This window comes from Homo sapiens, chromosome 17 (assembly GCF_000001405.40).
Source record: "Homo sapiens chromosome 17, GRCh38.p14 Primary Assembly".
Lineage (NCBI taxonomy): Eukaryota > Metazoa > Chordata > Mammalia > Primates > Hominidae > Homo > Homo sapiens.
The window spans coordinates 20,069,289-20,094,550 of NC_000017.11; the positions used below are offsets into that span (position 1 = coordinate 20,069,289).

The 25,262-nt window shown below is 44.5% G+C and overlaps 1 protein-coding gene across 22 annotated transcripts in view, besides 1 other annotated feature; it reads left to right on the forward strand.

The window, feature by feature from the left end:
* The window catches only part of SPECC1 (sperm antigen with calponin homology and coiled-coil domains 1), a 309,668-nt gene that overhangs the window by 59,930 nt on the left and 224,476 nt on the right, over window positions 1–25,262 (forward strand). For 2 of the 22 annotated variants that reach the window (NM_001033553.3, NM_152904.4), the window contains exon 1: window positions 17,734–17,763. The exons of the other annotated variants lie outside the window; for them this stretch is intronic. The gene's annotated coding sequence lies outside the window, so the exon portion shown is untranslated. Of the gene's footprint in view, window positions 1–17,733; window positions 17,764–25,262 lie in introns of those variants that run through there. 22 annotated transcript variants of the gene reach the window in all.
* Window positions 4,307–4,526: an enhancer, noted in NCBI's record as "active region_11868". NCBI's record gives its function as "activates an Ori minimal core promoter by ATAC-STARR-seq in GM12878 lymphoblastoid cells {active_cell/tissue: GM12878}" and the evidence as "EXISTENCE:reporter gene assay evidence [ECO:0000049][PMID:35858748]".

Consider the following 25,262-nt stretch of genomic DNA (forward strand, 5'->3'; position numbering starts at 1 on the left):
TCTTTTTTATGGCTGCATGTCCTTTCATTTTCTTGATAGTATCTTTTGAAGCAAAAGGTTTTTAATTTTTATGAAGTCCACTTTATCTAGTTTGTCTTTGCTTACTTCTGCTTTTGATGTCATCTCTAAGAAAATACTGTCTAATATAGTCATGAAGTTTTACAGCTATATTTTCTTCCAAGAATTACAAAGTTTTAGCTCTTGTACTTTGAGGTGATTTTTGTGTATAGTATGAGGTAGGAGTCTAACTTTGTTCTTTTATATGTGGATATCCAGTTATTCCAGCATAATTTGTTGAAAAGACTGTCTCCCATTGAATTGTCCTAGCATCCTTGTTGAAAATCAACTGCCCATAAATTTATGGGTTCATTTCTGGACTGTCAATTCTATTCCATTGGTCTATATGACTGTCTTACATGGACATGGGATGTCTGTTTATTTACTTGACTTCTTTAGTTTTTTCAATGACATTTTGTAGTTTTCAGTGTGTAGACTTTCCACTTACTCATACATATTGATAAATATTTTATAATTAACATTTATAAATATTTTATAGTTAAACATAAATATTTTATTCTTTTTGATACTACTATAAATGTAATTGGTTTCTGAGTATATTTGGATTATTCACTGCAAGTATATAGCAATACAATTGATTTTTGTAAGATCTTGTATTCTGCAGCCTTCCTGAACTCCTTTATTAGCCCTAAGAGGTTTTTTTGTTGTAAATTCCTTATGATTTTATACATATAAGAGCATGTCATCTGTGATTAGAGATAGTTTTACTTTCTTACCAATCTGGATGCATTTTCTTTCTTTTTCTTGCCTAATTGTCCAGACTAAAACCTCTGGTATAATGTTGACAAGAAGTGGTGAGAGCAGAGAGACACCCTTGTCTAGTTTCTGATCTTAGGAGAAAGCTATCAGATTTTCACGTAAAGTACAATGTTAGTTTGTGAGTGTTTTGAACTTGCCCTTTATCAAGTTGAGGAAGTTCCCTTTTATGTCTAGTTGTTCAGTGTTTATATTATGAAAATCTGTTGGATTTTGTCTACTGCTTTTTCTGCATCTATCGAGATGATCATGTGGTTTTGTCCTTTATTCTATTACTAGGGCAAATTATACTGATTGATTTTGACCAACTTTGAATTTCTGGGAGAAATTCCATTTGGTCATGGTATATAATCCTTTATATATGTTTTTAGGTTTGGTTTGCTAGTATTTTGTTGAGGATTTTTCTATATCTTATCTATATATTTTATCTATATGACATCTATTATCACTTTTAATGGCTGCATAAGGCTTAATTATGTGGATATACCATAATCTAACCAATTAGACTTTAAATTATTTCTTTTCTTGCCATTGTTGTTGTTATAATCAAGGATAAGCTCATCACTGTTGCTCAGATAGCTTTGTATTCATTCATGATTATTTTTGTAGGATACATTCCTACAAATGGAATAATGGAACCAAAGGTTATGCACAGATGTTTGTCTCATCTTGTCATTGACATTTTCAAGTTGTTTATAGTGGGGTTTTTTTTTCAGAGGTTTTTAATTTTCAGGTAAGTCACATCTGTTTTTTCTTTATGTATTCTGCCTTTGCCTATAGGCTCAGAGAGGCCTCTCCTACCTTATTCAGGATAATCTCCTATATTTTCTTTCTTTTTTCTCTTTTAATTTTTCAAGACAAAATTTCACTACGTTGCCCAGGTTGACGTGTGGTCTTTCTTCTTTTTCAGTTTTTTGAGACAGGGTCTCACTGTGTTGCCCAGGCTGGAGTTCGGTGGCTATTTGCAAGCACAATCATAGTGCGCTACAGCCTTGATCTCCCGGGCTCAAGCAATCCTCCCTCCTCAGCCTCCCAAGTAGCTGAGACTACAAGCTCACACCAACTACTGTGCTCAGCTAAAACAATCCATTCTTTATCCTAGATTAGTCATGCCATCTTTGTCATAATCTGAATTCTTATTTCTGGGCTTTGCCATGATCCAGTGCTCATCTTTCTATTCCTGAACCATGCCATTGTAATTTTTTATTTTTCTGATCTATTTTACTATCTGGTAGTACAAGTGGTTTGTGTTTGTGTGTGTTTGTGTGTGTGTGTGTGTGTAATTTTCTCCTTTAGAGAAGAATCAAGTTACTTGATAGCTTCTGTAGAGAATAATCAATTATTCTACCAGATGAATTTCAGGACAATTTTATAAATAATTTTCTTCATATTTCTAATCTGATTAGAATTTTTATTGGAATTACAACACATTTATAAAATTGTTTGCAGAGAATGAATATCCGTTGGGAGAGCATGGTATGCTTTTCATCCAGTCTTCTTTTTTGTCATTCAGTAAAGCATGAATTTGGGGGGCGACTGTAACTTTCTTACCAGGTTTATTTATAGATGCTATTGTAAGTAGGATTTTTTTTAACGTGATAACTTATTTAGGTATATTATTTTATTATACAGTTGAATACATACTTATTTTAGAAAATTTAGAAGCTACAATGTGAATTTAAAAAGTAAATGACACTCAGTCTGAGAGATAAGCACTGTTAACATTTTGTGTGTATCTTTCTATTAATAGATTTACAGTCTAATGAGGGAAGTAAGACATGATCACATGAAAGGCTTAATAATCTGAGACACTATTGAGTGACTAGCTTGTACTTTTTTTCTGCCTAGCCTTTTTTCTCCTTTTGGAAACTGCTTTTCCCATAACTAGTGGAGCTGCCAATCATCCAGGTCCCTCTCCACGGCCAATGGGTTGGACAGTGTATCACCTCAGGCTCTTTTCTGGGAGAGACTCTCTAATCTGGAATCTCAAATGCTAAAGACCTCTAGTCTTGCAGTGCTGCTGGGCAAGGCCTTCCTATCCTCAGAGCACCTGTGTTTGAATGATACCAGCTTAGGAGAGTGAAGCTACGAGGTGATTCAAAACCATTCCTGATGACATCATTGGACCTCATGGTCTAGAGCTGGCTTAAAGCCAGCCTGAATTCATCCTAGACTTTCCTAAATCAGTAAAGCCAACAAACTCACCATTTTGCTTAAGCAAAATTGAGTTAGGTGTCTGTCATTTGCAGAGTCCCAACCACTACCACCTCCTGTGTCTGTGCCATGGTGCCACATGGGGAGTCACCCAGATGAGTTAGGACCCTGTATGCCCCTTGCCCCCCAGGAGAGTGGGTGTTCCTCAGTAAGAGCAGGTTCAGTGCATTGTGCCTGTTGTCTCCTTCAAGGCAAAGCTGGATGGCCATGAGAGGCAGCAGCCTTGGCCAGGTGGGGCATGGGGCTGCCGTGCCAGGCCAGGCCGGCTCTGAACTCCTTACTGCACTCTGTCCATTAGAATGACAGAGTCTGAGTATGGAGGTTAGAATTATAGTGAACATGGGGGATTCTATGTCACAGAGGCTCTGCAAACCCATGCCACCTGCTATATAAGAGCTCTCTGCCATGCAAGAGCAGACTGGCTGCCTTCCACACCTATTATCCAGTAAAATAGCAATTAAAATGCAGCTTGTGGCAATGACTAAGCTTAGCCCAGGCCCGCTGATAGAGTTCTTGGTGCCTGTGGATATAACACATGTTGCTTGTTTACCTTCACAACATTTCTTCGGTGTTTTTTTCTGGGCAGTGTATTTGGTCCCTGTTGCAGTAGATCCCATTGTCACTGGGGCTTACTCTAGGCCATCCGTAGTAGCAGGGAACGTGGACCCCAGGCTTTGTGAGGATGCCCATATCATTTTGGAGCTCCCTGAATTCAAAATTAAGTATGAAAAGATTTATTTAGAACGAAAAAAAATTGCAACAAATTATTGGAGCCTAGGAGTTTCCGATGCCTACCTTTGAGATCCCTTTAGTTGGCTCACCAGAAGCCCCTGCTGTGATATGCTTCCTGGTTGTAGCCCGACTTCCCCTTCCCACCTAGAACTCACAGTGTTCACAGGGTCATGGCAAGGTGGTGGGGCGTGGCTGAAGCTTCAGGGTAAATCCATTTGTGAAGAGCAGACTGAGTTTTTGTTTTTGTTTTTAAATCTGTTTGATATCTCAGGGAGCAGTCAGCAGCTAGCCAGCCTACATCTTGAAACCCTTACATTTTGGAGAGGTACAAATTAAGCATTGAGGACCAAGTAGGATGGAAATATGATTTTGCACTTTGTGCATGTATGCATGTAAGAAAGAGAAGAGAGAGAGAGATTGTGAGAGGCAGGAGAGAGACGGGGAGAGGCCATCAGAACTTGGGGAGAGCAGAGCCCGCCTGCTTCCTGAGTGAAGCATTGCTCAAGCGCTCTCTGCCCGGCCCCCTCCGAGTGTGGTTTTCCTCCCAGGCCAGCACCAAACCCAGAATAGAGTGGCTGACTTGCTGATTGAGGTCGGCAGCTCCCGAGAAGCAGGAGAAGCAGAGTTTTTGCAGTAAGTACATCGTTGGTTATTATTTAAGACAGAGATGGAAAATCTTAGGATAGCTGGGGAAGAGGTGCTTCTGCTTTAGGTACAATGTCTTACAGACCCAGTGGATCTTGGTGTGACTAAGGCAGTGTGAATACATTCTCCCGTGGTGCATGGACTGGATAAGTTAATGCCACATGCATGATTTTGGGGGGCTGAAAAAGGATTTGAAACCCACCTTTTGACGTGTTGAAAGAAAATGATCTTTTCTCACTTGTTTTATCTTGCAAGGAAAGGATGATTAATGCCAACTTCAAGTTAATATATGAAGTTCTTTAGAAAAGAAGCCCTGTGGGTACTAATTAGTAGCAGCGTGGAGATTATTTTCCCATCCAGGGTGAATAGGGCTGCTTCTGTGCATTCCTTTTGCCAAGTGTGGGATGTCTAAGGTCCTGTGGAGAGAACCGCCCACTCGACTAGTGCTTAGCCCCTGGAACGTTCTCGAGTCATCTCCCCTTGGAGGAGATCAGCACTGTAGTGTGCCCTGTCGTCTGGCAGAGGGTCTGATAATGTCGCAATGCTCAACATCTGGGCAATACATACATTGTGTTAGGGTCTGAAATGAGATGTTTGTGAAGCCCAGATGGCAGAGTTTCAAGCAATAATATGATAAAGTTGGTGGCTTTTCTGGGAAGTTATTTATTATATGGTTACTTGAGATTGTTTTTCCCCCACATCCCATCACAGGGCTGAAGATACCTTAAAATCTCTCTTACCCACTCTATTTTCTAGAAATTAAGTTTTTGCTTTTTATTTCCTTGTCCCACTGACTCTAATTTCCTATAGGTATAAAATGTTTAGCTCAGCGGTGCAGAAGGTCCACACTAAGTTTTCTTGGGAAATGTGGCTTCCACCCCTTCTCGATAGAATGCTAAGGTGCTGCTCTAGCTGCAGAACTCACTGGTGTGGCTGCTTCTGCTCCTTTACAGCTCAGCTCCATGGACTCTGTGTCTCTGTGGTTCTGTTTTAGAGTAGCCGTGTTTCACTTCCTTTAACCTTTCCTTTACCAAGTGAGTTAACATGGAAGCCTGTCTAAACAGAGGAGCCCCCAAGGCAGGAGAGGGGGTGCAAAATAAGCAATACTAAACTTTCATTTGAAAACCTGGAATTTGAAATAAACCACCACCTGTGAAGTATCATTCCTCATTCCAATTTTATTTTTCCAATATGTTATTTTTTTTTTAGACAGAGCCTTGCTGTTGTCACCCAGGCTGGAGTGCAGTGTCTTGATCTCGGCTTACTGCAACCTCTGCCTCCCAGGTTCAAGTGATTCTCCTGTCATAGCCTCCCGAGTAGCTGAGACTACAGGCGCATGCCATCACACCCAGCTAATTTTTGTATTTTTAGTAAAGACAACATTTCAGCATGTTGTCCAGGCTGGCCTCAAACTCCTGACCTTAGGCGATCCACCTGCCTTGGCCTCCCAAAGTGCTGGGATTATAGGCGTGAGCCCCCACACCTGGCCCCAATACATTAACATTTTTTTAAATGATCTAAGTAATTTTGAGCTCTCACTGTACAACATCATCTCATTTGATTCTCCCAGCAGCCCCATGAGGTAGCTACCTTTTTGGTCTTCACTTAATAGCTGAGGATGTGGAGGCCTAGAGAGGTCAGAGAGATGGGTGGGCAGGTAGGTGAGTGGTGCAGCCAGGATGGGAACTCAAGTCTGTCTCAATCCAGAGCTCATGCTCTGATACGGCATTTCAGTAAATTCAGAAATTGGAGAAAATAGTGACTTAATCCCACACTTTAAAGCAACTGTTAAAATTTCTGGATTTTTTGCTGGGTGCAGTGGCTTGCACCTGAAATCCCAGCTACTCAGGAGGAGAAGAAGGAGGATTGCTTGAGACCAGGAGTTCGAGAACAGCCTGGGAAACATAGCAAGGCCACTGTCTCCAAAATTTTGTAAAAAAATTTAGCCAGGTCTGGGCGTCGTAGGTCATGCCTCTAATCCCAGCATTTTGGGAGGCTGAAACAGGTAGATCGCTTGAGCTCAGGAGTTCAAGACCAGCCTGGGCAGCATAGTGATACCTCATCTTTACAAAAAAATCAAAACACAAGCTAAGTGTGGCGATGTGCACCTGTAGCACCAGCTACTCAGGAGGCTGATGTAAGAAGATCGCTTGAAATCAGGAGGTTGAGGCTACAGTGAGCTGTGATCATGCCACTACATTTCACCTTGGGCAACATAGCAAGACCCTGTCTCAAAAAACTAAAAATTAAAATAAGTAAATAAATAATTAGCCAGGTGTGGTGTTGCATGCCTGCAGTCCCAGCTACTCCAGAGGATCACTCGTACCTAGGAATTCAAGGTTACAATGAACTATGATCTCACTACTGCATTTCATTCTGAGTGACAGAGTATGACCCTGTTCTAAAAAAATTATATATTTCTTTCTACCTGTACAACTAGATATTATAGCATAAGGCTTTAAAATTGTTACATAGTTTCACAATTATTACTATATTATTCTTTTGAGACAGAGTCTCACTCTGTCGCCTAGGCTGGAGTGCAGTAGCGTGATCTCAGCTCACTGTGACTTCTGCCTCCCAGCCTCAAACTATCCTCCCACCTCAGCCTCCCAGGTAGCTGGGATTACAGGCGTGTGCCAACATGCCCAGCTAAGTTTTGTATTTTTGGTAGAGATGGAGTTTCACTATGGTTCCCAGGCTGGTCTTGAACTCCTGAGCTGAAGTGATCTGCCTGCCTTGGCCTCCTAAAGTGCTGGGATTACAGGGATGAGCCACTGCACCCAGCCTGGTTTGACAAATATTTAATGGCATAAAATATTTTCTTAAGTGATTGGTCCATAAGTTATTTAACTATTCCCTGTTTTTTAAAATTAGGTTGCTTTTCCTTTTTTGTGTTTTGCTATTATAAGTAATAGATTAGTAACCGTCTTTGTCCATGGAACTTTCCTTATGTTTTTGGGTTGTATCTGTAGGGTAGATTTTCAGATGTGGGATTACTGGGTAAAAGGGCATGACCATTTTAATGGTGCTTGGTGTGTGTTGCTAAATTACTTTATATCAACACAGTGTGGGGGAGCACTTGTTTAATTTCATCCATTCCACCAGCTGACAGTATCATGGGGAAAAAAGAGTAAGAAAAACAGAACCAGCCGACAGTATCACAGGGAAAAAAGAGTAAGAAAAACAGAACCTCTTTATGGTATTTTGCATTTCTTTTAATACAGCTAGGCTGAACATTTTTTACATGCTTGTTTACAAGTTGTACTTTCTCTTTTGATCATTTTATGGGATCGTAATGCTGGCTTTTTGGGGCCAATTTATATGGGTAAGATTTATTTGCCATATTTTTGTCAGTTATTTTCCCCAGTCTATTGTTTACCTCTTTAAAATTTTTAAAAAACATGCAGTCATTTAACATTTTTATGTAGTCAAATTGGTTTCATTTTTTTCGTAAGTCTTCTATGTTAGAGATCTAAGTTCTCTGCTTTTAAGGCATTTATGTTCTTCTAGTATTTTCTTTCATGGATGATGTGAAAGTAAATTTAAACTGGCTTTAAAAAATGCTAACCAGTTTTTCCAATATCATTTATGAGCAACTCTTATGTTTTCTAATATTTTATGATTTTCTCTTTTTATACCTCCAGCTTTTCTATTATATGATTTTTCTGGATTATTTGATTATTTATAGGAGCAATCTGTTTCTACGCCATTATCGCACTGTGATAGCTTTTGTGGCTTTTTTTTGTTTGTTTGTTTTGTTTTTTTGTTTTTGAGATGGAGTTTTGCTCTGTGGCCCAGGCTGAAGTGCAGTGGTACAATCTCGTCTCACCACAACCTCTGCCTCCCAGGTTCAAGCGATTCTCCTGCCTCAGCCTCTCGAGTAGTTGGGATTATAGGCACCCGCCACCACGCCTGGCTAAGTTTTGTATTTTTAGTAGAGGTGGGGTTTTGCAATGTTGGCCAGGCTGGTCTCGGACTCCTGACCTCAGGTGATGCACCTGTTTTGGCCTCCCAAAGTGCTGGGGTTACAAGCGTGAGCCACCGCACCTAGCCTGTTGCTTTTATGATATGTAGAGAGAATGAGTTGTGTGGAGTAATACTGAGGCAACATAAGATTCTGGTTAAGCCCATAGGCACTGGAGGCAGATTGCTCAGCCTTAACTTCTCTGTCCCTCAGTCTTATTATCTGTAAAATGGGGATAAAATTAATAATAGTTTCTATTCCATAGGGTTGTTGGAGTGAGGAAACAAAAGCTAAATTAAAACACACACACACACTGAAAAAGTATTTGATGTAGGTAGATGTGTAGAGAAAGTATTTGAAGCATATATAGATGACTCTATATACATGAGTATGGATTATATTACATATATACATAAAAAGACATATGTATTTTTATAGAGTCAAACATGTCATTCTTTCCCTCTATGGCTTAAGACAACCTTTCATGTAATCTTGGGAGACAGGAAAGGTTGTCTTAGCCACAGAGGGAAAGAATGACACGTTTGAGTTGCATATGCAAAAAACTTGGTACATTGAAAGACAAGCGTGTGGCTGAGAGAAATACATGCAGCACACATACCACAAAGAGTACTACTCATAATAAATGATCCCAGCAATCAACTAGAAAAAACAGACACCAAAGAAAAATGGGCAAAGGTTATAAAAAAGCAATTCCTAGAAAAAGGAATATAGAAGGCCAATAAACATGCAATGTTCAACCTCAATAATAGTCATAGAAATGCAAATTCAAATACTCATGACGTGTCATTTCCCATGCAACACATTGGCAAAAATGGAAAATATGAATAATGTTCCAGCATAGAGAGAATCATAGGAAGATGGGAACTGGCAATCATAACCAATGGGAACAAAAATTAGTAAAGCTTTTTTGTATGGCAAATTTATAAAATCTATCAAAAGGTAAAATATGCATACCTTTGATTTGTCTTAGAAAAACACTGTACATGTTTTTAAGTAAGCATAAACAATACAAACATATTTATGTTAAAAATTGTATGTTAAAAATATAAGCTATATATTTTTATTTGTATGTATATAAAAATTCATTTAATAAAAAGCACTGGATGTGTGATATCAAACTGTTGTTTCCTGTGTCACCTCTGGAGAGAGAAGTAGACTAAGGGCCAGGTTGCTTTTTCCTCTTGCTAGATATACTTCTGTGTTTGAATATTTCATGAGTCTGAATTTGTGCATTTGTATAAAGTAAATAAACAGGCATTTTTCCGGGCCCACAGGCAAGAAGATTCTTGGGAGCAGGATGCTAGCTGTAGAAGCTCAAGGTTGGGAAAGTGAGTGACAGATTTTGGGAAGAACAAGAATTTGGTGGCAGTATTTAAAGATGCTTAAAGGTCTTAACTTATGTTTTAGAAAAGGAAGCAACCCAAGAGGCATGGAGGAAAAGTTGCTTTATTGATGGGCGCCGACCTCTTCCATCTCCTGTGCCTGTTTTCAGGCTTTGTGCAGTTGCGTCCCCACACACGGCTCGTAGACGCCCCCGAGGCACTGTGCTCCTCACTTTCTTTTCCAACATGTGTTCCTTATCTCTGGTTTATTGATTTATTATTTATGTATGTATTTTTAGAGACAGGGTCTCTTCTGTCACCCAGGCTGGAGTGCAGTGATGAGATTATAGCTCACTGCAGCCTCAACCTCCTGTGCTCAAGAGATCTTCCCACTTCAGCCTCCTGAGTAGCTGGGACTACAGGTGTGCACCACCGTGCCTGGCTAATTTATTTATTTGTAGGTATAGAGGCTTACTACAGGCTGTTCTTGAACTTGTGGGTTCAAGTGATCCTCCCACCTTGGCCTCTCAAAGTGCTGGGATTACAAGCGTGAACCACTGTGCCTGGCCTCTCTAGTTTAAAAGATTGTCATCTGAGGTTCAAAATAAGCCCTTCATCCATTATCCACCCAGCAGACATCCAGCACCCAGTCTGAGCTGGCAGTGTGCTAGGCCCTAGGGAGACAAGGGTGAGCAAAAGAGAACGTGCCAGCCTCCAGGGACCTACGCATGGGTTGGGGAGGAGGGACAGTAAACACTGATGAATTATATCACTGTGATGGTGGCTGCGAAGCTGCCATTGGGGGCTGTGGTGGAGAGTCACAGAGGGAGGGATCCTTTCCCTGGGTGGGCAGGAGGCGCAAGGAAACTAGGGTCCTCTGAGGAGAGCCTGCATCGCTGCAGTCTCTCCCATTCCATCCCTTTCTCCGCACCCCTACCGCCATGTCTTCATTCCTTTCACTGGGACCACTGTTTCCCAGATTTTAGTTCTTTAATGCCTCTTTTCACAGTTGTTGCCATTGTCAACTACCATTACTTATTACAGTTCCTAAAACTGACTTAACATTATTAATGTATCTTGAAAGGACTTAACCGCAAGTGAGAAACAATGAAAATGAAATGATGCTAAATTTAAAAGTTAGGATGATAGGTAATGAAGGCAGAACTCTTGAATGTGGTCTAGAAGGCATGCATGGGGTTGCTCTGATCACAAAGGGATGCTATTTATATGGGAGAAAGGGAATGTATTAGGATTAGATATTTAGCTGGCAGGGGGACTCTCTTGTCAGTGAACTCAGGGAGGACACTGTAGGAAAGAGATGACAGAAAGAGGGAGAGACTGCAGAGCATTTATTTATTTTGTTTAATTACAAGCGTGAGATAAGCCAGCAACACATTACAACCCGGGGGATCAGAGGGTCCCTCTGAGACAGACTGCGGGAGCCACATCTGGTTGCTACAGTAACGGGCCTCCTTATAACGAGAAGAGCCACAAGTGCCCGACATAAATGGCTTGGGGCAGAGGAGCAACAAGCGGCCTACCTTGCTGCCTCTTGGGGAAGGCAGTCTCGGGGAGGTTTCGCAGTGGGTAAAGAATGAGACTCTCGTGGGGAGGGTCTCGGGTTGTCTTGAGTCTAGGAGCTTGAGGGCCTCTCCGGGTCTTACTGATGAGGTCGAACATAGGGAAAGGAAGTCCTCCTGGCTTCACCTGTGCTGCCTGCGAGCCCTTACTGCATGGGAGGAGCCCCAGGACAAGAAGGCGGTACAGCAGCTTTTTTGAACTGGCTTGGGATGCTGAGAGATTTGGGCATCCCTTGGCCATCCTGAGGAGGGCCAGGCCCACATGATGGGATCAGTGCAGGGGGGGGTGGTCACTGGGGCCCTCCTGTGGTCCTTCTTGCCGGCGTCACCCCTGTAGCTGCAGGAACTTGAAACCCCTGCCCCAAACTTGCATTCTCCTTCCTGCCCCAGTATGCCTCCTCCTTGCTTTGCTGTTCCCTGTGCCTGTGAGTTTCTCTCCCTCTTGTCATCTAGTTCATGCTTCTTATCCTGGAAGGGTCACCAAAGGGTCTTTTCCTTCCTGCTGGGTCATGTGCCCCTTGAATAAGCTCTTCTGTCACTGTGTGACTTTTTAGTAGCATTTTCCCAATTGATATCTGGTATTTTCAAGGCCATTTGATAGTTCCCTACACTGGATGGTGAGCCCCAGGTGGGGAGGGGTGGTGTTTGGTTTTGTCCATCCTGTGTCCTGGTGCCTACTGCAGTGCCTAGATACAGGAGGTGCTTCCAGAATGATTCTTGAGCAAACAAATGAATGAGACAGTCCCCAGCTGTTTGTGTAAACGAGTGAATTCCCACGACTCGTTTTGGGCCTGGTTTTTTTTCCCAGTGCAGCAGAGCACAGGGAATGAAGGGGAGAGGAGGGCCTGGGGAGCGGGGATGTGGGGTGTGCGTGTGAACCATGGGAGGAAGCCTGCGTTTTATTCCAAGGGACACAGGGACCGACTGGAGGGCTTTGAGCAGAGGAGTGATGGGATCTGACCTACATTGCTAAAGGATCATTGTGGTTAGTGTGGAAAGATTAGCCAGGTGGAGGGAGAGGGCTGAGGAGAGGATGGAGGTGAATTAGAGGGGTGGTGGCATCTGGAAGATTGGGCTGGACTGGGATCTGTCCGGAATGTAGAGCCCACGGGTGCAGCGTTCTGGGCGTCAGGATCCCGTGATGTGTTTGTTGCTCTGATCCGTGCTGTAACTTTTCACAGGTGAGCTATGCTGGGGCCCTGAGTTTCCCACATTACAACACACACACAACTTTTCAATCAACAAACCTTTGCTGCCCCCAAAGCCACCCCAGGAGCCCCTGGGGCCCATGTGTGCCAGTTGAGGCCACGGTGGCCCCACCTGCAGCTGGCTGGCCGTTCAGACTCCTGCTGCTGCTCCCGCTGCCTCCTTCCATCACAGATGATACTGAGTTGTTACCAGTCAAGACAGGGAAAAGGCACCCTCAAAGCCTCAGCTCTTCAACCTGCCGTTCTGGGCCTCCGCCATCCACCGCCACTCTTGTTTTCCAGTGCCATTTTGCACAACTTCCACCGTGCTCGCGCGCTGTGGCCAAACAGCACTACTCCTTGCCTGCTTTTGGGGGTGCTCCTCTTCTCACCTGGAATGCCCTCTCCTCCAGTTTTCACATGTCAACCTCCTACCCATCCTTCAGAGTTGTATTAGTCTGCTTGGTCGCTCACAACAAAGTAACACAGACTGTAGGTCTTAAACAAAAGACATTAATTTTCTCACAGTACTGGAAGCAGACATTGGAGTCAAAATCAAGGTGTTATTTTGGGAGGTTGAGGCAGGAGAATTGCTTCATCCCAGGAGTTTGAGACCAGCCTGGGCAACACAGTGAGACCCCATTTCTCAAAAAAGAAAAAAATTAGCCAGGCGTGGTGGTGCGCACCTTGTCCCAGCTACTGAAGAGGCTGAGGTGGGAGGGTTGCTTGAGTGTTGAGTTTGAGGCTTCAGTGAGGTATGATCATGCCACTGCTCTCCAGCCTTGGCAACAGAGCAAGACCCTGTCTCAAACTATATGTGTGTATATATATATATATTCACCTTGTATCTTCACATGGTTATCCCTCTGTGTGTGCCTGTGTCCTAATCTTTTCTTATATGGACATCAGTCATACTGGATTAGGGCTCAACCATATGACCTCATTGCACCTTAATTACCACTTGAAAGACCCTCTCTCCAAATACAGTTACATTCTGAGACATTAGGGGTTAGGGCTTCAACATAGGAAGGGAGTGGCGGGGAGGGACACAGTTCAGCCCATGACTAGAGTCTCAGTGAGATGCCACTTTCCCCTCCAGCACCCACTGTGCTCACACACCATAGCCTGTTAGTGGGCTTCTTTCTAGCACTGGTTGCTGTGTCCTTTGGTGTTCGTTCGTTCGTTCGTTCGTTCGTTCGTTCGTTCGTTCGTTCGTTCATTCATCCATCTAAAAATAGTACTAAGAGACATCTAGTCCAGACTCCTGGACTGTATTATTCTTTGAGTCCTGACCACACCAACTATATCTGACACAGGTCACCTGGGACATTTAATTTTTTGTTAATTCATCAAACAAAATTTCTGAACACTTCTCATATGTAAGGCATTGATCCAGATGCTAGGCAGCAGGCACAGCAGAAGGGGTCTGAATGCCAGCCAGCTGCTGGTGGGGCCACTGATTTGCCTTTCCTTTTAAATGCAAAGGCGAATCAGAGTTGGCACTTCCAGTTAGTTGGAGAGACATAACTGGCATATACAGTCATACAAGAGAGGACATAGACAAAATGCTTGGAATTTAGAGCAACACCAAATCACATTTGTCTTTGTAGGTGTGGGGAGATGGCAGATAAGACTACAAGGGTGAACTGACATTTGATCTGGGACTTAAAGATGGGTAAGATTTGTGTAGATAGGTGGCCTTTTGAGTTTAGGCTTTTTTCACTTAGCATAGTGCATTTGAAATACATCCTTTTTGTGTGTGTGCTATTCATTCACTTTTATTGCTGAGTTCATTCTTTCTATTGCTGAGTACTAGTCTAATGTGGGGATGCATCAGTTTATGTATCCACTCACTGTTGAGGGAGAGTTAGGTTGCTTGACTTTTGCTGTTACGAAATCAAGCTGCCATGAACATTAGTGTTACAGATGTTTGTGTGAATACAAATTTTATTTCTCTTGGATAAATACTGAAGAGTGGGATTAATGGATTGTATATGTTTAATTTTTAAGAAACTTCAGCACTGCAAAGTGGCTGTACCATTTTGCATTTCCGCCAGCAATGTATTAGAGTTCCAGTTGCTCCATATCCTTGCCAGCACTTGATACTGTTTTGTTTTGTTTTTAAATTTTTAGCCATTCTAGTAGGTGTGTAGTGATAGCTCTTATGGTTTCAATTTGCATTTTCTTAATGACTAATGATGTCAAGCATTTTTTCATGTGCTTATTTGCCATCCAAATATCTTGTGTGGTGAAGTTTTTATTTAAATATTTGGTCATTTTTTATTGCCTTGTGCAGTTTATTATTATTATTTGTTATTAATATGGACATCATTTGTTATTTTTAACAAAAATAACAAAGAGGCTGGGCACTGTGACTCACGCCTGTAATCCCAGCACTTTGGGAGGCGAGGCGGGCAGATCACCTGAGGTCAGGAGTTTGAGACCAACCTGACCAACATGGTGAAACCCTGTCTCTACTAAAAATATAAAAATTAGTCGGGCACAGTGGAGGGCACTTGTAATTCCAGCTACTCGGGAGGCTGAGGCAGGAGAATTGCTTGAACCTGGGAGGCAGAGGTTGCAGTGAGCCGAGACTGTGCCGTTGCCATTGCACTCCAGCCTGGGCGACAAGGGGAAGACTCCGTCTCAATAAATAAAAAATAAAAGTAACAAATAATAACAAAAATGGTTATTATTCAAGAATTCAAGATTCAAGTCCTTTATCAGTTTTGTGTTTTGCAGATATTTCCCTTCCAGTTGATGGCTTGTCTTTTCATTTTGTTGACAATGTCTTTTGAAGACCATAAGTTTTAAATTTTGACAGTATCCCATTAATCAGGTGGGTTTTTTTGTTTTTTTATCTTAGTTATTTTATTGCTCATATTTTTGGTGTTGTAACTAAGAAATCTTTGCCTTACTCGAGGTCACAACAGTTTTCTCCTGTTTTCTTCTAGAGGTTTTCTAGTTTCAGGTTTCACCTTTAGGTCAATGGGCTGTCTTTAATGTGGACCAGACACTGGGCCCACAGGTGTGGAACCACAGAGGAATGAGACAGAGCCCTTCACTCAGGGACCATCTGGGCAAGGGAGGTGGGGGTGGGAGTCACACAGGGAAACAGTCTTTGTCTGGTGTAAGGCCTGCTGATAAGCCTGGGTCCAGGGTGCTGTGGACACACTGTGGTGTGGAAGCAGGTCTGTGCCCAGACAAGGGGCTGTGAACTGAGGTTTACCAGACAGTAGAGGGTAAGTGAAAAGCAGGAGTTCAGGCTGGGAAGCCTGTTCTGGGCTTAGAGTGGCCTTGGGCAGGCCTGGAGGCTGGATGATAGAACTCAGCATCCCTGCAGCTGCTGGTCATTTGCTGTGCCTGGGGTCAAAGTGCAAGACAGCTGGCAGGAGTGGGCAGAAGGGAGCAGGGGCCTGAGCACTTGGTGTGCCTTATCCTCCAACAAAGAGGAGGTGGAGGTGGCTTCATGGCATGGCTCAGGCTGTGCTCTTTGAGGGTCGGGGGTAACTGTCCCTCTTTATTTTGAAAGTCAGATGTGTCTGTGTCATAAAGGGCACATCCATAGGGGGCAGCGGAAGTGCTGTTACATAACCGTTTCTGTCCCTCACGCTGGAAACAGATCGCACAGCAGTTGCTGTACTTGCTGTTCCTTGTAGACTTACTCCTGTGCAAGGAACGTGTAATGACAAGGTAATCCCAGGAGCAGCCTGCAAAATTATCCGTCGTATTTGTGGTTCCTGTGTATATTTAAAACACAATGCTAGAAGCGATTGATGCTGACGAAGGATAGGGCATATTCCAGGCACTGAATAAATTAACCCTGCAAAGCACAGCAGTTGCTTTCATTAGCCAGCTGGCACTGCAGGAATATTGCTAAAGCCTGTGGGTTAGAAAAGAAAATCTCAGGAATGCGAGAACAAAAAAGAAATCAGCCACATTCAGTGATTTAACTTAATCTGGCAACAATAAGGAAATCCAGAACTCACGGTGCTCTGAGCAATGGCGGACTCCCGCTGCATGTGCGAGTGGATGGATATTCCCTGTTCAGTGGAGGGGATATCCACCACGACTCTGGGTACCCACGGCGGGATGCAGATGTGAGTTAGGGCCATGCGGCGATGATCCAGGTTTTGTTCCTGCATCCTCTGCAACTAGAGAAGCTCCAGCAAAGTTCTGTGTTCCCCTCTTTTCTTCCTGATGTCCCCAAGGAGTGAAGCAAATGAATAGGCCTAGCTAATGTGCCATCTCTCTCTCCCTTCTCTACCTGGCCAGGCACTTTCTGGGATGGCTGCTGCCATCATGTCCATGACACTGAAGGCCTCTGCTGCCTGCAGTCCCACTGCTGCCTCCGCCACCCTGGGCACCACTGCTGCCTTGTTGCCCTGTGGCTGTGAGGTGCCATAGTGCCAAGTCTTCAGCACGCCCCAGAAGCCATGATGAGTATGGTGGAGGCCTCAGAATTTTCCTGGGGAAGTAGCTCTTTCCATGTTGCCTTGATGGCCCTGTTCCCACCTCCTGTCTCTCCCCCTAGGCCAAGTGTTATCCCAGGAGACCCTTCACTTCCACAGACAGACAGACAGACTGCCAGGGACCCTCCTCAGCCAGCCTCTTCACATGCCGAGGCCACAGCACTCAGTGTGGTTGGGTCCAGTTGAGACCCTGCTGCTCATGACTTAAGGCTTCTGTGCATTGAATTAAGCCACTAGGGGACTTATGAGATCACCCTCTGGCTTCTCTTGTTGGGTCCCATACAGCCAGTATGTGTCACCAGGGGCATGTGGCATGTGTAGCCTGCCTCTCCTGAGTTTGCAGAGCTGGGCTGGCTCCTCCTTGATTTTATCTTCCTCTGGACCAGAGTGGCTGAAGTATAGTGAGCAGAGGGAGGGGCAGTGGACGTGGTGAGGGGCCAGACCTCTCCATCCATGGGTGGGGGCTCTCGTTATGGAGGGTCCCTTTTTTGCGTCTGTGCTCAGCAGTGCGGGGGAAGAGGGTTTGTCCCCTTCCTCCCAGGTCCTCATCGTTCAAATGCACGGAAGCATGTTGGTAGAGCACACAGAGGTTTTGCTGGGTGGGTGGGGCAGCATGCCCTGCAGTTCTTGCATTGTTTCCAGAGGAAATAGAATAGAATGCAACAGAACTGGCCTGCCTGTTGCCTGGGAAGCTGTTCTCCTGACATCACAGGGCTGTGCCCATATCCCCGCTTGGCTTAGGGGCCCCTAAGTTAGGAACAAAGAAGCAGAAAAGGTTGGATAAAAGATAAGGTACTCAGACTTGATACTTTAAATTATCAAGTTCCTAAGTCTATGGTTACCATCAGTTCATACTTTACAAAGCATTTATTAACATAAATTCATTTATTATGTTTCTGTGAAGATGCCTGGTTAAATCTGAAACCATAGAAATGTAAAGTATTGTTTACTATTTCTGTGAAACTAGGGTGTAAACCAAAAGTTTTAAAAGCCATCCCTCAGGAATAAATTTAGGAATTATTTCTCAAGCATGACTGTGAGTTAAGAATATTAAGTTTTATAACACTGATGCTTACACATCAGCATGAATGTTTTCAAGGTAGTAGTGCTGGAAGGCTCTATATTCACATCCATGGGGCTCTCATCCTGAAAGCAGTCTGGGGACTTTATTATTTTTTTTCAACCATTTAGAGATATTTATAAGTATTATGGGAGAAGGATTGTCATTGCCTTCCAGTTCTCTTTTGTGCTTGCCCGTTAATTCAGCACCTATTTAGTGAGTGGCTCCTGCCTGCTGGGACTGTGTACCTTTGTAGAAGCTCCCTGGCTGGTGGGGCAGGGCCAGGGAGGCACCCATATGCATGTTTTCAGTGAAAGCCAGAATCTAAGTATTCATTAACTAATATTTGTTGAACACTTATTATGTGCCAGGAACACAATGGTGAACAAGGGAGGTAAAGGCCCTGCTATCACGGACCTTCCCTAGTAGCACAGGAAGGCAGATAACCCATGACAGAAAATCAATGGCAGATAATCGATGGCAGTGAGAGTCTTCATTTGGTGATAAAGGCTCTGAAGAAATAAACCAGGGGCTGTTTGGTGGGGTGGGAGAGCTACTCTAGAGAGTATAAGAAAGACGCCTCCTAGAGGAAGCACCTTGGAGCAGAGACTGACCTAGGAGAAAGGAGCCCACTGTGTGAGGAGCTGGGGGGACATTCTGGACAGAGGGAACAGCAGGGTCAGAGCTCTTCCTTGGGAACTAGCTGCACATGCTCAGGGAGCTGGGAGCGGCCCACATGAAGCACAGTGAGCAGGGGAGAGTGATCAGAGCTAGGCGAGGAGGTGGGCAGGGCCAGGAAGCCTAGGAGCTTGGGGCTGGGACAAAGACCTTGGGCTTTCACTCCCAATGCAGTGAGAAGCCACTGGGGGGTTCTGTGTAGGGAGTGATGTGATCTGATTTTTGTGTACGTGTCTTAATTTTGAAACTTTAATTTTAGTGAAAAAAAGTCACATAACATGAAATTTACCATCTTAACCATTTTTAAGTGGACAGTTCATGATTTGTGTTTTGAAAAGACTCCTGTGGCTGCTGAATGGGCATTAAGTGGTAGGCAAGAAGGGGCAAGAGCAGAAGCCAAGAGCCAGTGAGGGGAGGCTGCAGCACCCGGGTGAGAGGCAGGGCTGGCCCAAGGGGTGGGCAGTGGTCACAGACCTAGGAGTTCCAGAAGAGAGACGATTTTCTGGAGGTTTAGAGCTGGGAGTATCTCATCAGAAAGGTTTTTGCAAGAAAGTCTTGATTGGCATAAGCCTAAAAGGAGGGGATAAAACATTCATACAGGGAGGCCCTCAGATTGGTGAATACCCCAAGATGAGAACCGCAAGTTTCATTGGAAGTGCAGAGAAGAGTCCTGTTTGGCTACGCTGCAGGGTAAGGGGTCAGCGTGGCTCAGCCGAGCTCAGGCAAGCCGTCATTTAATTTGGTGGATGCTATTGTCTGAATGTTGATGTACCCCCCAAAATTTATCTGTTGGAACCTAAAACCCCATGTGATAGGATTAAGAGGTGGGGCCTTTGGGAAGTCGGCCATGAGGGCTTCACCCTCATGAATGGGATTGTGCTTGTGCAAAACAGGCTTGAGGAGCTCCCTTGCCCCTTCTGCCATGTGAGGCGCAGCAAGAAGGCACCTTCTGTGCGGCAGAGTGAGCCCTCACCAGACACTGAATCTGCTGGTGCCTTGCCTTGGACTTCCCAGCCTCCAAAACTGTAAGCAATGAGTTTGCCTTGTTTATAAATTACCCAGTCTACAGTTTTTTGTTGTAGGAACCCAAATGGACTCAGACGGTGTGTAAGGGGAGCAGTAGGCCAGGGTTAGGCACACAGCCTGAAGTGGCATTGCTGAGGGTCCCGTTGGGGGAGTTAGCAAACTCCTCGACATTCCCTTGTTGCTGAACTATAAAATGGGGATGACAGCAGCTACCTCACAGGGTAGTCAGAAACATGAAAGAAGACGAAGGAAAATGATGAACATGGTGCCAGTCTCTTAGTTGGTGTTGCTAAATGTTAGCTTAAAAATACAGTAAAATGGGCTGAGTGCAGTGGCTCATGCCAGTAATCCCAGCATTTTGGGAGGCTTGACGCGGGAGGATCACTTGAGCCCATGAGTTTGAGACCAGCCTAGGCAACAAGGTGAGATTTCGCCTCTATATAAAAAAAAAAAAATTAGCCAGGCGTGGTGACACATCTGTTGTCCCAGCTACTTGGGAGGCTGAGGCAGGAGGATCCCTTAAGCCCAGGGGGTCGAGGCTGTAGTGAATTGTGATTATGCCACAGCACTCCAGCTTGGGCAATGGAGTAAGACCCCATCTCTAAAAAAATAAATGAGTAAATAAGATAAAATGCAGGATTTTGAGCAGAAAATGACTGACCCCAGCTGAATTTTCAGAAATCTGTCTTGAATATGTGGAACGGATGAGCCCAGGAGGGCCTTAATGCCAATCTGTGCTGGAGAAAAAGGCAGGGCTCCTACAGGAAATGTTGCAGGCATCTGATCTGCTGGCCTGGACAGCCGTGAATTTGAGAAATGGGCGCCCTAGAGAGGAGTCCAAGATGACTGAGGTTTTGAGTCTGGAAGAGCAAGAGAAAGGCTGTGCCGATGACAGAAATAGGGAAGTCCGGGCTGAAGCTGGTTATTCAGGGTTTGTTCTGTGCCCCAGGCTGAGGCTGGCTGTACACAGGCAGATGCCAGGAGGCTGCCCCTGGGAAGGGCTTACCAACAAGGAGAGGCATACGTATGAGACCGTCTCAGACTAGGAGAAGATTTTCTGGAGCGGAGAGACTTGAGCACACTTTGGAAGGTGGTGTTGAAGTTAGCCGGGCCATGGGAGCTGGGCAGGTTTCCTGGGCCTCCTGTTTGCCACACCACATCTCTGTCTTCTTCCTCCAGCTCTGCACCAGCGCAGGCGACCGTAGACACTGTACCTGTGTCCCATGCCTTCCCTGAGCCTGTGGGCAGCACTGGCTGTCAGGTTGGAGGGAGGGAGAGGATGCGTATGAGGTGTTTCCTAGCTCTGGGGTGCTGCACTTTCCGTTTTGCTTCTCCCTTTCATTACAAGCCCTGCCCACACCTTTGTAAACACTTCCTTTCTCAGCTCACCTCAGTTCCCCAGCTGGCGTCCCAGGCAGAGGCAGTTGCATGTGCAAAGGCCCGGAGCCAGGACTTGATAAATATGGCTCAAGATGCTGCAGCCTAGATAGATATGAAAGTCTCTGGTTCCCTCCTATACTGTAGTTTTTATTCTGTTTACTTTGCACTAGACCATTTTACACTATTCCAAAAAAAAAAAAAAAGGGCTCTTATTTTATTTCCATCTCCTTTTCCTACTGCCTTGGCTCATTCACTTTAATCCTTTGATGGAAGCCATGTTACAGGTAAGGGAATAACTACTTATTAGTGGTCATTTAGCTCTTTGGGATGCTGGTTGCTTGAGGCAGCTTTGGAGACAGAAGGACGTCACAGACCAGTGATTGTGAGCTCTTGGTCTCAATATAGCTGCCAGATTATAGCCTCTCTCTTGGGTCTGCATTTCATATTTGGGACTTGCCTCGGCCTCTGTTTCTTATTCCAGATTACACCCTATTCCTTATGGGTCTCCATATTATACCCTATTCCTTATGGGTCTCCAGATTACACCCTATTCTTTATGGGTCTTCACCTTCTGGCAGGAGTCCATAGTTTCTTACTCCACTATCAAAGTTTGTTTTCAGGTTTGAGGTGGTGTGGTTAGCGATGTACAAATGTTCTTTTCCATTTAGTTTTTGTTTTTATCACTTCTTTTTTTCCAGTGACTTCTGCTGATGGGATCAATGAATTTTACTTTGGAATTTTTCTTCTGATGCTGTATGGAAATCTGTTCTTTTCCTTATTTACTGGGAAAGAATCTGAGGCTATTGGGATGATTTTTCATCTCAAGACTGTGGGAAATAATCAGCTTTGAAGCATTTCCTGTGGCCATTTGCTGAAGTCTGGGATTCCGTCAGCTGCGCCCCAACCAGATTTTCAGTGTTAATGTTTCCATGTTAGGTGGTGAGGCTAAGCAGATATGTCATGTGCCGGCTGGTCTAGGAGCCAGTGTCCCAGGGCTCTCATTCTTCCTCTGGAAGTCTCTCCACCGTGGCACTGCTGACATTGTAGGCCAGATGCTTCCTTGTTGTAGGGCTCCCCTTTGGGTTACCGATGTCTAGCAGCATCTCTGGGCTCTGTCCAGTAGCACCCCAAGTTGTGACACCGTAAATGCCTCTGCACATTGCCACGTGCCCATTGGGCTTAGAACTACTACTGTAGAAGAGGTCAGGAGCAAATTCGACCCATGTTCCAAAAAGCTCCAGCTCAGTATTTTCAACATGTGGTTCACTTACGTTCTATTTCCTGCTGAGTCCCCTGGCAATTGAGCTATGTGCACATTCTTATTTTGTTGGTTCTCAGACTTGAATGGTTTGGCCTCTTCCGCTTCCCAGTGCTTATTGTGCTTGTAGCCGAGCCCTGAGTGCCCTCTCCCACTCCTGGAGACTCGTCATTATTTTCTGATTGTCCAGAATGGTTTCCCAGTTGCCTTTCTATTTCTTGCCTTAAAAGGATAATGAAGCTGAGGCCCGAGATAACCTCTCCAACGCAGGCTCCGAAGGCAGCAATTTAGTGGCGGAACAGCGTGTTTTCAGGGAGCAGGAGACGTGTGGACTCTGACTTTAACTGTTGCCCAGCGCCTAATTGTATTCCTTAAATAGGGGTTCCCTCTCTCCTCCTTTTCTCCCTCCCTCCTTTCTCTTCTACTTTACACTGTGAAATTTAAGAGTTGCAGTTTAAGTCCTACACTATTCTGGAGAGGAGAGAAACTTGGTAAGAAAATAAAATGTTTGACAAATTTAAAGAAAACACCCCTGGAACGACATCCCCCACCCCACCATGGGTGTGGGGTCCTAGATTTAACTGTAATTCCTTGATCGATGTGATCCTTTGTGGTGTTCATGAGGATTTTAGGAAATCATGAGATTAATAATAGAAACCTTCTTTTCACTGTCTTGTACTTGGCTGGAGCCTGTTTATTTTGTATGGCTAATTCATATCCATAAGAAAACGATTACTCAGCTAGCATTCCCACCTGTGTTTATCTTTCAGCAGCCAGGATTTGTTAAGCCCTGGGCAATTTTAATTGCTGTGAAGTGTCTTCCCTGCAGGTGTGTTTCCCTCGCTTCTTTCTCTCTTTCACATTTCCAAGTGAAAATAGTCTTCTCTGTGTAGAAGAGTGTGTTCCTTGGATCTGATATGTCTGTCTGCCTCCTGCCCTGAACACACATTTAATTGACCCATCACTGTGTGCTGCTGAGTCAGAAGGCAGAGCAGCGCTCCGTTGAACACCATCAACAGTTTTTGTCGAGAGGGCGGCTCATAGTTGTCAACAGCCTTCTGTGTGCCTGGCACCTGATGGACTTGTTCTCCTTTCATCTTTACAGTTTTATGAAGTTGGCACTGATAACTCCATCTTATTGGGTGAAGATGTAGAGAATCATGTTCAGAAAGCATGGCTGAGTTCACAATGTCAACAGTGGAGCTGAATTTGGACCAGGTGCATTTGATCTATAGCCTTGGTGCTCTCCAGGGAGCAAAGATTATTCAGAGAGGCCATCCGTCCCTGGTGTTTAGGTGTGTAGGTTTTGGAACCAATTTAAACTGGATCTGAATCTTGGCTCCAAGATAAACTCTGAGATTTGGGCAAGTTGCTTAACCTCCCTTGGGGAAATGAAGTTTCCCCACCTGTGAAATGGATATGTCTTAGTCTGTTCAGGCTGCTGTAAGAGAAATACCATAAACTGGGTGACTTATAAGCAACAGAAATTTATTGCTCACAGTTCTGGAGGCTGCATAGTCTAAGATCAAGGTGCCACTAGATTTGGTATCTGGCAAGGGCCTGCTGTCTGGTTCATAGATGGAGTCCTCTTGCAGTGCCCTCACTTGGTGGAAGGGGCAAACAAGCTCCCTCAGGCACTAATTACATTGATGAGGGCTCTGCCTCCCAGATGCCCTACCTCCTAATACCACAATGGGGGTTAGGTTCCAACATGTACATTCTGGGAGAACATTCAGATCATAGCAGGAGGTGACCCTTACCTCGTAGGGTTACTGAGCTATTTACATAGAGCATTTAGCAGTGCTTTGCCAGGCTCAGAATGAAATAGGATAGCTGCTCTCAGCTCATGACAGCATTTATGTAAATGAACTGGCTTCAGAGAGCCAGGCTGAGGGGCTGAGATGACGGGAGGGATGTAGAAGTGGTGGGAAGTGGATTGGGAGGAAACCTGAAGAAACTTGGAGTGGGCCTAGGGGTGCACCTGCTCCCCTTCTAGTAGGAGTCCTTCCTGCAAGTGGACGGAGGGCACCATATTGTGGGTTTTTTGTTTTTGTTTTTGTTTTTGTTTTTTGTTTTTTTTTTTTTTGGAGATGGAGTCTCCCTCTGTCACCCAGGCTGGAGTGCAGTAGCTCAATCTTGGTTCACTACAACCTCTGCCTCCCGGGTTCAAGTGATTTTCATGCCTCATCTCCCCAAGTAGCTGGGGCTACAGGTGTGTGTCACCACGTCCCCCTAATTTTTTGTATTTTTAGTGAGACAGGGTCTCACCATGTTGCCCAGGCTGGTCTCGAACTCCTGAGCACAGGCAGTCCATCCACCTTGGCCTCCTAAAGTGCTGGGATTACAGGTGTGAGCCACTCCCAGCCTATATTGTATATTTTAAATTTGAGAAGAAGATGGGATTTGAGGAGCAGTGTATGGCTGATGGGTGGGTACAAAATGGAAGGCCTTGCCCAGGAAAACAATGATGGGAATGAAGCCGAAGATGCTCAGGAAAGGGAGTGTGGGCAGCAGGAGGGGGATGGATGAGGAGCATTTTCTGGGTGCAGTCATGTGGGAGTAGTTGGGTTGAATTCAGAGGGTCCAAGAGAAAGGGACCCTGATGCAACAAACATGGGCCTGGACAGTGCTGCCTCAGAGCGGGCCACCTGCCAACCCTGGAAAGGAGGCTGCGTGTTCGTCAGGGGCACCATCCACAGGATCGACGCATTTGTTGCCAGAGATTAAGAGAGAAGTTTAGATCTTTTAATTTTGACTGAGGTGGCTTTTCCTTCTTTTCTTTAACCAAGGACTTAGACTCCTGAAATGTTGGGGAAAAGGTTGACAGGGAAAACATCCACCCTCTTCCTGCTGTTTTTCATCTCTATATTTTTCTCTTTTGTGGTGGTG